The sequence below is a fragment of the Homo sapiens genome, chromosome X, assembly GCF_000001405.40.
Source record: "Homo sapiens chromosome X, GRCh38.p14 Primary Assembly".
Taxonomy (NCBI): domain Eukaryota; kingdom Metazoa; phylum Chordata; class Mammalia; order Primates; family Hominidae; genus Homo; species Homo sapiens.
The window spans coordinates 31,866,637-31,883,733 of record NC_000023.11 but is presented as its reverse complement, the minus strand read 5'-3'; the positions used below and the strand labels follow the sequence as shown (position 1 = coordinate 31,883,733).

The following is a 17,097-nucleotide window of genomic DNA, read 5'->3' as shown; positions in this document are numbered from 1 at the left end:
GTGTAATAGGATGTTTTTCATAATATTTACTTTAATGGACGCAACATATTTCATTATGTAAAAGCAGTTTATTCTATTTGGGGAGATTTCGTTTCACTTTTTCGCCAGAGTGACATAATTGAACATTCTTGTCATAGGTCTCTGTGTTTATCTCTGATATTCCCCTAGGAAAATTCATAGAAGTAGCATTTTGGAGTTGAAGGGAATGAGTAATCTTAAGGCTTTTAAAGTAGTTTTATCAAATTTTCTAAACTGAAGTATAAAGACACATAGAAAAGTACACAAATCATAAGAATAGAAATTCAGGGATTTTTAAAAAAAACTTAGTGTATCCATGCTACTACCACCAAGTTCAAGAATTAGAACATTACCTCAGGAGCCCCTCTCATGTTCCCTCCCAGTTATGAGCCTCTCCCCTGCCACCACCCTCTCCCAAAGATAAGCACTCTTTTGACTTCTAACACCTAGATTAGTTTTGACTTTGAAATTACTATAAACAGAATCATCCAGTATATGCCCTTGTATTTGACATGTCCTGCTCAACATTATTTTTGTGATATTATTCTATGCTATTGCCTGTGCCATAGTTAGTTTAGTTTTTCTATGTATGGTATTCTATTGTGTGAATATGCCACAGTTTATCCATTCTGCTAATCAATGGACATTGGGCTGTGTCTATTATGGGGCTATTAGGAAAAATGCTGGTGTGATGTTCCTGTCCTTTGCTGCATATATGTATATATTTATTTTTAATATACGTGGAAGTACAATGGCTAGGTCATAAGATGTGTACATTTGGCTTTGGAATCACCAAAAAACAGTTTTTCAGTGTGGTCATTTCAGTTCATTTTCACCAGCAGTATATAAGACTTCTAGTTGATCCACATATTCATCAAGAGTATGTATTTTCAACCTTTATCCTTTTAACCATTTAGGTGAATGTGAAATGGTATTTCATTGTGTTTTAATTTGCAATCACCTGACGATTAGTGCCATTTTTATATCCTCTTATGTGAAGTCATTATGCAAATCTTTTGCCCATTAAAAATAATAGTTGTCTTTTTCTTACTGATGTAGAAGTTATTTGGATACAAGTCCTTTGTCAGATCTATGCATTGCGAATATCTTTTTCCAACCTAAACTTTGCTTTATTTTTTTCTCTTAACAATCTTTCCTGATAAATGGAGTTTGATTTATCAGTCTTTTCCTTTATGGCTAATGCTTTTTATGTCTTGTTTAAAAAATAATACATTAACCTAAAATTGTTGAGATTTTTTTCTATATTTTCTTTTGAAAACTTTATTTTTTTGCCTTTTACATTGAGGTCTGCAAACAATCTAGAATTTATGTTTTGTGTATGATGTGGAGAGTCAAGGTTCATGTTTTTCAAATGACTAATCAGTTAACTTGGTGCTATTTACTGAAAAGATCATCCTTTTCCAACTTAAGTGACACCATCGTATAAATTAGGAAACGCTATATAGATGATTTGTTCTCACTTCAATCCCACACAGGCTTAATTATAATAAATATTCATGTCTGGTGGCAAACATTCTTAAACTTCGTCGTTCTTCAAAGTTGCCTTGGATATTCTTAGCCCTTTGCACTTACATATAAATCTTAGGATTGGCATGTCAATTTCTACTAAGAAATGGTTGCTGCAATTTTGATTGAGATTGCATTGAATTTATAGATTATTTGAAGAGAGGGCAGATATCTTTACAGTATTGGACTTTCTAATTCATGAAGAAGGTAGTCCTCTATTTGTTTACATTTTCTTCACTGTCTCAGTAGTGTTTGTAGTTTCCAGGGTAGAAGCTTAACTTTTCGGTCTGAATTACCAAATTACTAGCAACATATATAGTCATGCATTTCTTAACAAATGAGATATGTTCTGAAAAATGTGTCATTAGGTGATTTTGTTGTTGTATAATCATAGAGTGTACTTACACAAAGATAGATGGTATAGCCTACTGCACATCCAGGCTATATGGTACAGCATATTGCTCCTAGGCTACAAACCTGTACTGCATGTGACTTTACTGAATACTGTAGTCAATTGTCACACAACAATATTTGTGTATCTAGACACAGAAAATGTACCGTAAAAATACAGTATACAAATGATAAAAAATAGTACAGCTGCATACGGTATTTACCATGAATGGAGCTTGCAGGACTCAAAGTTGCTCTGGGTGAGTCGGTGAGTGAGTGGTAGTGGTGAGCAAATGTGAAATCTAAGACATTATTGTACGGTACCATACAGTTTACAAACACTGTATAGTTAGGCTGCACTAAATTTATGAGGACACATTTTTATCTTTTTTTTTTTTTTTTGTATTTTTAGTAGAGATGGGGTTTCACCGTGTTAGCCAGGATGGTCCCGATCTCCTGACCTTGTGATCCACCCGCCTCGGCCTCCCAAAGTGCTGGGATTACAGGCGTGAGCCACCGCGCCTGGCCCATTTATTTTCATTAATGATAAGTTAACCTTAGCTTATAGTAACTTTTTTACTTTATAAACTTTTTTTTTAAGTTTTTGACTCTGTAATAACACTTAGCTTAAAACATGAACACGTTGAACACCCGTACAAAAATATTTTATATCCTTATTGTAGCAGCTTTCTTATTTTTAATATTTTTGCTGTTTAAGCTTTTCTGTTAAAAAGTAAAACACAAACACGCACATGAGCCTAGGCCTACATGGGTCAGGATCATCAATATCACTGTCTTCCACTTCCACATGCTGTCCCCCACTGGAAGGTCTTCATGGGCAATGAAACATTCATGAAACTATCATCTCATAGGATAACAATGCCTTCTTTTGAACTAATTAAGAATATAGTAAATACATAAACCAATAACAGTTGTTTATTATCATTATCAAGTATTGCATACTGTACATACTTGTCTGTGCTGTATTTTTATATAACTGGCAGTGCAGTAGGTTTGCTTACACCAGCATCACCACAAACGTGAGAGTAATTCATTGCACTGTGACATCACTAGGTAATAGGAATTTTTCAGCTCCATTGTAATCTCATAGGATCACAGTCAGTCTGTTGACTGAAATGTGGTGAATGACTGTATAATAGGGCTCCAAGGAAGATCATAAAATTGCTTGTTTTCCAGAACTTTGACAAAGACCTTTTACAGAAACTAATATAATAGATAAATAATAGTATAACATTGCTGTTTTCCTTTGCATTTCATTGATTACTAACTGTCTGGATTTTTTCTTGTTTATTGGCTGTTTACATTTTTGTCAATTTCTTTTTATGTTCTTTATCCAGTTTTCCAGTAGATTTTTCCTTTTTTTACTCATTAAAAGATTTTTTTATATGCTAAAATTATTACCCTGTGTCTGATATATGCTGCAAATATTCCCAGTTGTCATTTGTTTTAATTTTGATTAGTGGCTTTAATTTATAAGTGAATACGCATATTATATTCAATCTTTTTATATTCTTTTTTTGCTTCTAAAAGGCTTCCCCACGCCAATATTTTATTCCAGTTCTTCTTACTATTTTTATGCTTAACACTTTAATTTTTCTAAAATGTTTTGTGTTATGAAATCCATCTTAATATGTTTATTTCTAAAACAGACACTTTTGCTTATCTTAATATTAAAACATATACATTTGAAATTAACATTCAGAGATTGAAAGAATAAGGAAAGTAATCTTGTGTGAAATTAGGTCAAGATGTGCTTAGATACTAAATTAACACATAAGGGAATTGAATGTGTTTGTTTTCTTTCACCACAGGGAACATGTTATATGAAGAGCATGGTTTTATAATACATAAAAGGATTATTAGAAAAATGATGTATTTTACCGGTCAGGTGTTTGTGTCTATACTTTGATGTGAATGCAAAATAGTAAATATAAATGTAAATTAATTTAAAACACATAGAATCTGATACAAACCTTAATCTTTTTCCACGTTATACATTACTCACACCTGTTATATTTTTCCGTGAAGTATTTGGAATACTCTCGATTCCTGGAAACTGTTTTAAAGTGCAGAAGAGCACAAAAAAAATATGTGTTAAAAGTTCTTGATTTCCACCCAACCATTAAGTGATATTGCCAAAGAAAACTCTTCAGAGCATTTTTCACTGATGGCTTTAGATATGTTATACCAGAATAATAATGATTCATTATTAAAATATGCAAAGTGTAATTTCTCAACAACATTTTGTGGTAGGAAGATGAGCTGGTACAGTAGTTTTCCTTATTAAATAATTTTTTACAAAAGTAATTGACATGGTTTGGCTGTGTCCCCACCCAAATCTCACCTTGAATTATGGTAATCCCCACATGTCAAGGGTGGAGCCAGGTGCAGATAATTGAATCATGGAAGAGGATCCCCCATACTGTTCTCCTGATAATCAGTAAGTTTCACAAGATCTGATAGTTTTATAAATGTGAGTTCCCCTGAGCAAGCTCTCTTCCCTGCTGCCATGTAGAATGTGTTTTTGCTTCTCCTTTGCCTTCTGCCATGATTGTGAGGCCCCCCCCCGCCATGTAGAATGGTGAGTCCATTAAACCTCTTTCCTTTATAAATCACCCAGTCTCAGATATGTCTTTGTTAACAGTGTGAGAGCAGACTAATACAGTAATGCATTTACATTGTTCAAAATATAAAAGGTACAGTAAAAAATATCTCACCCTACCCATCATCTGCTCTACCCTCACTGCACATTAACCTTAATTCTAGAAACAAATCTACAAAATAAATTCCTGGGAATAAAATTTCCAGGTCAAAGTTTACATGCTTTTTATAGATATGGCCAAACTGCCTTCCACAAGAGGTACACAAATGTATACTTCCCACCAGCCACGTAGAAGAGTCTGCATTTTCCCACAGCCTTGGCAGCATAGTGTACCTGCAGACTTGAATTTTTGCCAGTGCAATAGATGAAGCTCTAATTTTCATTTCTCTCATTATTACCAAGGCTAAGCTTCTGTTCATGCTTTTAAAATCCTTTGTATTTTCTTTTCTGTGAACTGTCCTTATCTTTTGTCCAATTTTCTTTTGGGTTGTTGGCCTTTTTCTTATTACTTTGCAGAAGGTCTTTCATGTGTTAGGAAAATTAGTCCCTTAGACATGAGTCACAAGCATTTATTTTTCATAATTGTTCATTTGTTTTTGATTTTGCCTATGGCTCTTTTGGTCGTGCAGAAGCTTTTGATTTTTTATATAGTCCAGTTTACTGATATTTTTGTCTGTTAATTAAAGTTATTTAACTTGAGGATACAATTTACATTTTTTTGTGGTTGACTACTATAGACATATACTGCTTCTTACATTGAAAAAATAATAATCCTGAATTTGGAAATTGTTTTTAACAAACTTTTGGTGAAGGTCCATCATATTTAGGAACAGAGCTTGTTTGACCCAGAAATCAAAGGTCAGTGAGAAGGAGCAATGTAAATAGAAAGTTAAATAGCATGAGGTAAATGTTATGATGGTGGGAAAGACAAGATCTGAGAGGATAAACCTAAAGCAACATCATAATTAAGCTGAAAATTTCGTCTCATGATAAGCTATCATTTCATTATTCCAGATATTAGTCAAATCTGACCCATTACACTGTTTTCTGTCAGGAATTGTTTTACCTCTATTACAAGGAAGGGATAGTATGGGAGGATGATAAGGAAACCAGCAGTCTTAGTTAAATGTTATACAGATTTCTGTGCTTATATATGAAGCCTAAATGAAACGTGAACAATTTCATGATCAGATAAAAAGGAGTTCATCGCTCAGTTTTAGAGATTTTAGGAAAATATGATGGCTATTATCTCAGTAGCTTCAGAGTCTAGAGGCATTTAGATGTTGTTAGTTGAAGCTGTAAAACGCTTTTTACATCTACTTGTGAGTAGAAAATGATCCAATAAAAATAAAATGTTTAGTTACCTCCTTTAAAATGCTTGAAAAATAAGTTGAGGACATCATTAGATCATGTATTACAGACGTAGGAGTATATTTGTAACATCACCTACATCACACATACCTGTGTGCGCGCGTGCGTGCACACACACACACACACACACACACACAAGAGTTCAGCACCACAGGTGTAGTTATGGATGTGAACTCACAAAACACAAATCAAGCAAAGAGAACAATATCTCAATTCATGATTCATGGACATTCTGTGCTATCTGAAACACAATGCTTCTTTTGCCCAACTCTCACCCACACAGGGAAAGGCTGCCAGGAATGAGAGGCAAGAAGTGTGCAGGTCACCTTCAACAGGAGCCACCACCTGTATTTCCCATCAGTCTTTTACACCATTGTAGTCACGTGGATCCAAGGACTGTATTCCAACTGACAGCTCCTGCGATGAGGTGCAGTTCCACACGACAAAGCCAGGCCCAACATTTCCCATTCATCTTAAAGTTAGTGTTTCCAAGGAAACAGTGCTGTGGGAGCCTAGGGTCAGTCCCAGACTGACCTGCAACAGCCCAGGCTGGATGTTAATCCTTTGCTTATACAGTCTCATGAATTTTTCACAACATATATACATGCATTTACAAGACGTTTCACTGTACATATTGTTTACGTATACAATCTTGTTTAAAATTCATTTTTCTGTACATTAATTGATTTTTTTCTCGACAACTTTCTCTTTTTCATCTCCTAACTCTTGCATCCAATTAAACAATGTACTGTTCATTAGTGACTTATTTTAAAAGTATCTAAAACAATTGTTCCAAAGCATGTGACATTGTTTATGTGACACACTGGTATATTATCTAGTTTATTTTTAAAATCTTCTCTATTATTATTCATAATATATTATTATGGAACAGATGTATATTATAAAATTTTATTCATATTGCAGTGTAATATTTTGTATTACAGTGGTATTGTTAATAGTCTCGTAAAGAGCTATCATTACAAGTTTAAATTCTTTATTCTGGGATGCCAGTTTTAACTCTTGATATTCTGAAGAAAATAGCTTTACTCTTGTTTATTCTGGCTCTGTTTTTTTGTTTTGTTTTGTTTTGTTTTTTGTTTTTTTTGTTTTTTTTTTGTAGAGATGGGAGTGTTGCTATGTTGTCCAGGCTGGCCTCGAACTCCTGGGCTCAAGCAATCCTCCTGCCTCAGCCTCCCAAAGTGCTGGGATTACAGGCAAGAGCTACAGTGCTCAGCCTATCCTGGCTCTTTATTTACATGTAAGCTTGAGCAATAATCACTGCTACTTAATAACTTTATTGTCATTCATTATCATGCAGAGTATTGCTCTAAGGTATGTTCAGGGATGACGTTACTGAGTCCTAACAGTAATCCTATGAAGCAGGTGCTATCATTGTCCCCAATCTACAGAGGAGGCATTGAGAGTTAGAGAAAACTTGGCTAAAATGTTAGGCAAGAACTAGAACCAGAATTGAAATCCAAGTGGCCTAACTCTAGACCTCACAATGCTTAATACCATGTCATGCTGCTTCCTAACCTATTTAATGTTTTTTTCAACCCCAACGTCATCACCCATGTGTGATAGTGGGATCATAATAATATCTATGTCGTAGCATTGTTGGATGGATTAAGGAAGTCTACAAATGTGAAACTTCCAAGGATGATGGTTGGCATATACTGATCTCTTAATAAAAATAACCTATAATCATTCTGTTACAGTCTACTCTAATCCAAATGTTCTTTTTACTTCTCATCTCAACCACCTGCTTCTGTTTACTAGGACTCACAAACTATAGCTCACAAAAACGCATAACTTACCAATTTTCCTTGTACATGAAGGGACTTCCTTTTACAATCTTCCATGACATAAAAGAAAGCTAGAAGCAAGTATAGTAGAAGAAATGATTGCTATACAAACAAAATTATAGTTGGTTTGGTTTTAATTTTAGGATGCGCATTGAATAAAAATCACTCATTTGGGATTTAGAAGACCTGTGTTATATATCTGGTGCTAATGCTGAATAACTTGGCTTATTCATTTTTATAACTGCAAAGGAAGCGCGTATGGCATATAATACACAACACACCAGTATATTTAGTAACTGAGTGAATAAATGAAAGATGTATTTCTTTACTTTATCAGTTGCAGTTGGCTATGCCTTTGTGTAAGGTGTGTGTTTTGAAATTCCAAAAAGGTATTAGTTTCTTTAAAGCAAAGAATTTTTGTAGCAGGTTAATGAATAATTTTGAATACATTGGTTAAATCCCAACATGTAATATATGTAAATAATCAATATTATGCTGCTAAAATAACACAAATCAGTAAGATTCTGTAATATTTCATGATAAATAACTTTTGAAAATATATTTTTAAACATTTTGGCTTATGCCTTGAGAATTATTTACCTTTTTAAAATGTATTTTCCTTTCAGGTTTCCAGAGCTTTACCTGAGAAACAAGGAGAAATTGAAGCTCAAATAAAAGACCTTGGGCAGCTTGAAAAAAAGCTTGAAGACCTTGAAGAGCAGTTAAATCATCTGCTGCTGTGGTTATCTCCTATTAGGAATCAGTTGGAAATTTATAACCAACCAAACCAAGAAGGACCATTTGACGTTAAGGTAGGGAACTTTTTGCTTTAAATATTTTTGTCTTTTTTAAGAAAAATGGCAATATCACTGAATTTTCTCATTTGGTATCATTATTAAAGACAAAATATTACTTGTTAAAGTGTGGTAAGGAAGACTTTATTCAGGATAACCACAATAGGCACAGGGACCACTGCAATGGAGTATTACAGGAGGTTGGATAGAGAGAGATTGGGCTCAACTCTAAATACAGCACAGTGGAAGTAGGAATTTATAGCCAAGGAGCAGTGTAGGAGTCAGTAGATGGAAAATTATTAAGAGGAAACATCAGGGGTAAGTGGGATTCTGGCTAAACCAACCTCACAGGATTCTTGCTGAAGATAGGCCAGGGTTATCTTATCAGACAACCCTTGGGGAATGGTGGAGAATACTGAGGGTGATCAGGTACCAAGGATAAAGGGTTCTTGTAAAACTGACAGGCTTCTTTGCTGAACCTGGATTTTACAGGGGAGTGCAAAGATGAGCCCAGGCGAAGGTTCAGAAGCCTGACTAAAGTTTAGTCAAGCAGGGAATCTTTGTCATCATCATCATTGTTGTCATAATGATAATAATTATTATTATTTTACTAGAATATGTTGCTTTTTCCTCAGCATTTACTAGAAATAAGGTCTTCATTAAACTTATGTTACTAGAATGCCTGCATCATATTTGTTACTGTGATTCATTTTCTATCCCTGTTTTAATTGTGCTTAATACATATTCATAGATTCCTTATCCAAAATTGAAGTTGTTTATGAGATTAGGTTCCTAAAATATAATGTCTGGGCTCTTTTGTAGACATTGTAAAGCCCTCTCAGACTGACTACACTTTACCTTTCTATCTTCTCATTCTGCCAGCAATCTCCCCGTATAGTCTGGCCACATCAAATTACCTGGTACCTTTCCATCCATGTAATTTCATGTCATACCTGTGATCTTGGTTTTCTCTCTTCTTTAAATGACTTCTTTCAGTTTATTTTGATATAATGAATTTTCTTCCATTCTTTAAGAATGAATTCAAAGTCATTGCGTCTTCCAAGTTTTCTTCCGTACCCCAAGTAGAGTTAGAATCCCTGTTAGGATTTCTTATAAACCTTTTTATTCATCTCCCATTGTTCATATGTTGATTTACACTTAAATTTTATACACCTGAGTATTTCATTACACATCTGCACTGTTCTTTGAGTGCAGAGGGCATTCTCTTATTTATCTCTGCTTCTCCACTCATATCATACACACTCAGCCTAGGATCCAGTAAATGATGCTTACTTGTGAGTGTTTTTAAGTCAATGAATAAAGACAGTACCAAGACACCCAGAATACGAATGAGATACTGCAGGTAAGCGTAAGGCTTCAGACAATCCTGCCAATTGAACACCACTATCTCCTTCTTCTAGTGTCCTTGTAAATGCTGATTGATCTTCTTTTCTCCCTTTCAAGGAATCTATTCCAAAGATTCTTTCAATATGCTGCCCCGTTTTGCGTCTCCTTATTTGCCAAAATCTTTAAGTAGCCAATCAAATAAACCGAATCGTTGAAATTACAATCTATTAATGAATGTATTGTTGGGCAACTTCAGAGTAAAAAGGATAAGTAACATTTTTGAGTAGTTTTTTCTTTTATTTAATTGACTTTAATTGTTAAATTTATTTACTGTCCAGTATTGTAAAAACCTAACATTTTAATCTCCATTTAGCTGTTGTTTTGCTGGAACTGAGAGCAAAGGGAAAAGGAAGTTTGAGAATATTCTAGTGAAGAGGAAGTAAAAGTTTCGGGAAGATGGGCATGAGTAACAAGGAGATAGAGGGAAGTTTGCTACAACTAAAATGAGTTAGATTAGCAAAATGTTCTCGACTATGTTTACCTTACTTCCTCCTGACACTTATGTCTACCATTCTGATAGCTACTCCTCAAGAGCAGATGGCACTGTGGAAGTCACAAGTAGACATCATTTCACTAGCACAAAACTCAGCCTGCTCAGCCAGTGGCACAGTCTTGGGTTCAGTCTGATGATTAAATTTACGAGACATAATAGGCTTTACCCAGTAACAAATTTAGTTAGCTTTAAGAAATTATACAGGATGGGTAACAACAGCCTGCACATTAAAGGCACAGTGGAAGTCTTGATACCAAGACGTGGCTTCTGATGTCCCATCACCCTGAATTTTAGTCATACATGATCACAAGGGGCAAGACTGGGTGCGTACAAAACACATCATCGTCTCAGGGAAGCCATCAGTTCTAGGATCCTGACCATTTCTCCACTTAGCTAGTACATATTGTACTCAGAGGTGTTTGACTAGCTCCTATTCACCAGTACAATTACATCTCATGAATACTGATTTTTCACTGCTCAATAAACAACCCCAACAAGAAAGTACAGTTACTTGGCCCAATACACAATAACCTTAGCCAAATTCTCAATTATCTTATATCCAGTATATTCTTAAAAAGTAACTGGCGTAATATTGCGAAGAGGAAAGGTCATAAAGTCTTTCCTCCCAACCAGAAATAGCTTTTTGTAGCTCACGGTAAAAGCACATTCTACTCTTTTAAATGCAATCTTTGGTTAAAATGTGCCTCTTTATTATAATAGTTTAAAAAATACTCAATGCTAGCTATCTCTCTTCCTGGAACACATTTAAGAAAAGATTTTTTTTTGAATCCCTTGGTACAAATAGATCCTGTTTACTCAATCAAAATGACTTTTGTCCCAGTCTGTGCCCCCCGGAATGGTTTTCAAATAATGAAAACCTGCATTGTGTCTTCGATTGTCTATGGCCCATAGGGCTCTGCCAAATGGGTCCCTGCAGTTTGAAGTGAAAGCCATACTCGGCTGTGTTAATCACTTTTCTTTATCAAAGCTACAAGTCACCACTCACTGCTGTGTGTAGTTTCTGAGAGTCATGATATTTGCCTCCTGCAGCTTGTTTTAAATCACTGAGGGGAGAGGGAGCTGCTTTTTTCCTGGCAGAAAACTCCTTGGCTTCAGTCCTCTGAGCACATTCCGAGTTTCTTATCTCTGGAGTGCAGACTTCAAAAATACTCTTTTAGCCTTTTTCTTCTGCTTGTGGCTGTGTTCAAGGTGGGGGGAGGGGAAACATAAAATCATAGATTTGATGACTTGAGAGTTTCTCCCAAAAATTCTCAAACCCCCAGCTTATAATTAGGAAATGGTGACCTGTGTGAATAATAATTTACCTTGTTTTTTATCCCTCTTTGTCTAGCTTCCATTCCTTTCACTAATAAATGATTTATTAAGATTGCACAGTTTTTCTGATTTAAGATATAGGATATTAGTCCTTACAGCCTGCTGTATTCCTCTGCTTAAAGGAATTAAACTATTTTTCCATTAAAGAAAGATGGGACACTAGACTTTGCTTTACTTAGTTTCAAACTACTGAACACCAAAAATAAAATTTTTAAGGAGTTTTGAGCACATGCCCTTTTTTTTAACACAAGGTAAAAAAAAAAAAACACCTTTACTAAAATCTTAAGAAAGAGTTAATGCAAAGGAAGTAGATATACGAACAGCCACGCCCCTAGCTCCAAATCCTAAATGTAAAGAAACTTGCCTTGTCTGGCCATGGTGGCCATAGCTGCCTCGGAAACAAAGGGTCTGAGGCCTTGCCATTCGGGTAGTTTGTTTTCTCTAGTCAAACTCTGAGCACACCTGTTAGAAAAATATGTAATACCCTCTCTCTGTGAGCCTCAGTTTTGTCTGCTTGGTACTTCACTCTTATTGATGAAATGCAGCTAGCTGTGTAGTGAAACCCAGATAAAAAAAAGCTTTAAGGGCTGTGTTCTAATACATTGTTTATGCTGGAGTGAAAATTGACTGCACATTGCTTGGTTTGTGCAATTTACTCCCGAAATATTCCTATTCAGGAAATCCTGCAAATAGCAATATTCATCTTGAAAATCACCTCACAGAACCCTTAGCAAGCTGAGAAACATAATCAATGAGATCGTGATGTAGAGGGTGAAAATTAGGCGTAATCACAGCCCTTTCCCATCAGTCAGCCCACTAGAAGGCATGCCTTTGAATTTTGATTTTCAAATATACTCTCAATTTAGACATAAAATATGTTGATTTCAGATTTCAGAAATGATAATTGAATGCTAAGATCCCGGGACCAGTTTAGAATTTCTATAAAGGGTCTTATGTTTTTAACCTTTAATGAATGCTTTCAATAATGAGCTAGAGGTATACTATTTATCTGACATAAGACTGACTACTGCTTTCCAAACTTTTTATTAAAATATGAGGTGTGGCGGGACACATAATTTTATGTTAAGGCTTAGTGACTGAAATACTTTCATCTTAATCACAGGGAGGGGGTTTTTTCCTCCCCTCAAGAATCACTTTCCTTCTGTGGTTTATAAATAAACATGACATGTGGCTCTGCTGGCTCTTCCTTGCAGTATAAGGAGCATAATTGCCCATAATGTCAAATCCACACTAAAAACTACCAAAGGACTCAATTGTAGTGACTGACCATTAAAGTCACTGAACACTGTGTGTGTTCACATTGCTGTGAGTGTTGTCAAAGAAAAATAGCACTAGACAACAGACAAGAAAGACTGTGTTCAAAACTTTTGCAATAGAGGAGACAGATTGAACTCAATTCTGCTGAAATAAAAGGCAGGAGAGCCTCTAAGTGCTGAGATGAGTTAGTGAGAAAGTACTAGATATCAGGAGGGAGGTTAGTCAATGTGCTTATTTAGGCCATCTGTGTTTGCTGATTGGCACTTATCAAAGTTAGATTCCTATCCTCCCAACAGAAGACTAGCAGATTGGGGCACTATCTTTTTTGATGATTCTATATCAAAGTGCTAGCTCCCAAGTCCTTGAGAAAGTTTATTCCTGAGGTATAAAAGTGGCAAGAGGCTAGGAGAATATTTTTGTCTCAAAAAAGTAGAGAAATAATATATAAAGTTTTCTAGAGTAAATGCTCTAAGAAAAGGAAGGTCAGGTCTAAAGTCAGGAAGAAATCTGTCTCAAATGTAGTCAAACTCAGGGTATTTTTAAAGCTTTCTTTGTCAACCCTCCATTTTGTTCAAGGGAAACCAGTTTTCCCATTGAAAAACTTAGGAACGCCAGTTCATCTAGTTCATTTCAGCAGGTTTCTGTTGTTGAAGGACTAGCTGAACGAACTCTGACACTTGGTAGTAATCAGACATTTCATGAAGGAGATTTCCATGAAAGTTAGAAGGAAGACGAAGATTAATGGTTGAAGCAGACTGCAAACTCAGTTTTTGAGTCCAGAGGGCAGCAAGTCAAAAAGATTCCTAGAAGCTGGGCTGTAGGCATTCTCAGATGGTAGAGTGAGGATGGCAGTAGCAATCCGATGGATTTCTTGGAGCATGGCACGGAAGAGGTTGGAGTTTACTGAACTTTTTGCATGGCCTACAAAGCAGCAGCTCCAGGCATGAAAGTTGTCTATACATAATTTGCTGTGGTGGTGAGTCCTTTGTAGTTTATAGCAAGTCATCCAGCTTCTGCTTGCAGGGCTTCTTTAGATATTGTGGGGAAATGGCAGCTATAAGACAACCTAGAGAAGAGAGTCCTTATCTCAGTAATAATATGGGCAGTCACGTTTTAGTTCTCAGTGTCACCAAGTCAGGATGGTGGGAGAAAAATTTGAAATGTTAATTTGGAGAATCGCAGCCAGATTGTAAAGGAAATAAACTGAAAATTGGTAAGGACGGACAAAATGTGTAAGACAGCAGGATCCAGATCAATTTACAGGTAGGTAAAAAAAAAAAAAAAAAAATCATGTCGTTTACAAAGAAATGCAAAATAGATCAAAGACAATGAACAGGACTAGAATCTGATAACCCCAAGGGTTACTGAAACTCTATCTCTACCATCACCCTTTTGATCAGTGTTAATCAAAGTAAGACTTTCCTTGTTTATAAAATAAGACTGGCCTATTTATTTATATAGGGGTAGCAAAAATGGTAATTTACCAAATAGGCTATTTTAAGTGTGATTAGCTGGAAGTTTTCATGAAGAATCACAAGCTGAATAAGTTTCAGAGATATACTGTACAGCATAGTGCCTATAGTTAACGATACTGTACTGTACAATTAGAAATTTGCTGAGGGCAGAGTTTAAGTGTTCTTACCACAAAATACTACTACTCTCTTTTAGGAGCAGTGGTACATAAGGTGAGAGGAAACTTTTGGAGGTAACGCATAGGTTTATGGCATAGATTGTGGTATTGGTTTTGTATATATACTTTATCTCCAAACTCATCAAGTTCTATGCATTAAATATGTACAGCTTTCTGTTTGTCAATCATACCTCAATAAAGTAGTTTAAAAAATATGAAACCTCAGATTTGATTTTTTAAAAGTCTCCAAAGTTTAGGAAGGCAAGTCAAGAACTTGACATCAGATTTTACCTGAAGTAAAATACCTATAGATTCAGCTGAAGTGTTCTGTTTTCCAGGTTCCTAAAATACCCTTGGTTTCCTGGGTCTCCTAAGAATAGACCTTCCTTACTCAGTTGTAAGATTGGGAATTCTGTAAGCCAGGTACCGGGACAGTTTTCCCAAAAGGGGCTTATATTAGCTCCATATAGTCAAGAGTAGCTCCTTAAAACTGGTCACATCTGACTCTATGCACTTAATTCTCAAATATGACATTCCAGTCAAAGCCTTGGTTATATATTTTTTTCAATTATGTCTTGTTACCTAAATATATTTATTGAGCCTATGCAAATAATTATATTGCCATGAAAATAAGAATACTCGGTAAGAATTTCTGAATTTTACAGGGATCAGGCAGGGATAAAAAGATTAATGTTTCATTCTGTTTACAAAAGCATACTCTAAATTCTCATGAGTTATAGATAACTTAAGAGAAAAAGGAAAGGCGTTTCTTGTATTTAGCAAACAGAACATTAAAACATGAGGAATATTTTAAACAAAAGCCATAATCAAATCTTTTATCAGTTCATTCAGGCCCATGTAGTTAATTCTTGTCTTGCTTGATCTTGAGTTAGTAGTTTCATGAACTCATCAGCTTCTTCACAGAGTTTCATAAATCCTGACTTTGTCCAATGGTATAATCTCGAAGTTATTTAAGCAATGGCATCAGAAGTCTGTGTCCCAGAGTACCTGTCGTAGTACTTCCTATGGGTCTCAAAGATGGTCCTGTTTTACTGAAGATGATGCATTCTGACCTCTAACTGATTGTAAGAGCACTCAGGGAAGCATCAGCATAAACCAAAAACTATCTGTGAACGACAAAAGACTTAAAATGGCCATAATTAAAGATCTGATTCATTCGACAAGAAATTTTTTTTTTCCCTGGTGCCATGCCACATTTTAAAATAACAACTGGAGTTAGGACTGATGACATAATATTATTATCGGATAAAGTAGCACCAGGATGTGTCATGGACACCTAGAGCACCTAGAGCACTAACAAAGTTCTAAGGATTTATTATAATTTTTCAAGTATTTATACTAATAATAGTTGACCCATACAACTATAACCTAGTCAAGGTTCAGCATCTCTTCTTGTCAAAGCTTTTTATGCAACTCAACATACCAAATGAACCTAGTTATTTTTAACATCCTTCATTTTACAAGGGTGCAGGAACAAATCCTTTGAAATTTTTCAAACCAATCTGAGATTAAAAAAAATTTTATTTAAGAATTGACCTGGGAAAAGCAAAATATCAAAGGTTGTAAAATGACAAAAGGTTTGAATACTTGGCTGAATAGGATCATTGCTCACTATGAAAGAATGCATGGCTACCTATGTAACCAAGATGACAATAAAAGATTTCAAAAATAAATGTAGAAGGCCACATGACGGTAAAAGTTTTTAGTTCTTTCCAAAGAGAAAACACTACTTTCTAAAAAAATTCAAGGACATACAAAATCAACACAGGTACTTATTCTGATAAGAAACAATATTTGTTTCCTATACAGATTACCCAAAATATAAAAAAAAAAACAAATTTTGCAATCTCTTATTAAGAGAAGACCAATAGAAAAGATGAAAATGTTAATTAGTTTGACCGAAATAATTGTTTTGCAATTTTGTGTGTGCGTATATATATATATATATATCAAAATATGTTGCATACTTAAGTATATTCAATTTTATTTCAAAAGAGCAGACCAATAATCCAAGAATATTTTATCATTTTTTAACAAAAAGAAACTACAACTCATTTTTGATCAATACACTGTTGATACTAAGGGTCATTTGTAAGAGTTTACATACACATAAATCCATTCCGTTTTAGCCAGCATTGGCTATTAACATAAGACTCTCCTTCCACAAATCTTCTGCCATTTCCAATGTTCATTCAGATTTTGTCCTATACCTTCCTCTTCCTCATTTTCACAGTCATTTTAATTTAGGACAAAGTTATTCTCTTTTTCCTTAACAAAAACACATCCAACATACCTTGTATATTTTGCATACAAAGTTGTTTCCCTTTACCCCTAATGTTTCTGGAAGTTTTATTTACATATATTGATTATATTTTTAACCATTAGTAAGTCTTATTTTATAGAGA

At 35.0% G+C, this 17,097-nt stretch overlaps 1 protein-coding gene across 20 annotated transcripts in view; it reads left to right on the top strand.

Moving 5' to 3' along the window:
* The window catches only part of DMD (dystrophin), a 2,220,167-nt gene that overhangs the window by 1,455,655 nt on the left and 747,415 nt on the right, over window positions 1–17,097 (top strand). For all 20 annotated transcript variants that reach the window (XM_006724469.4, NM_000109.4, XM_011545467.2 and 17 more), the window contains 1 exon segment: window positions 8,361–8,546. In XM_006724469.4, the coding sequence (XP_006724532.1) occupies window positions 8,361–8,546 (186 nt within the window).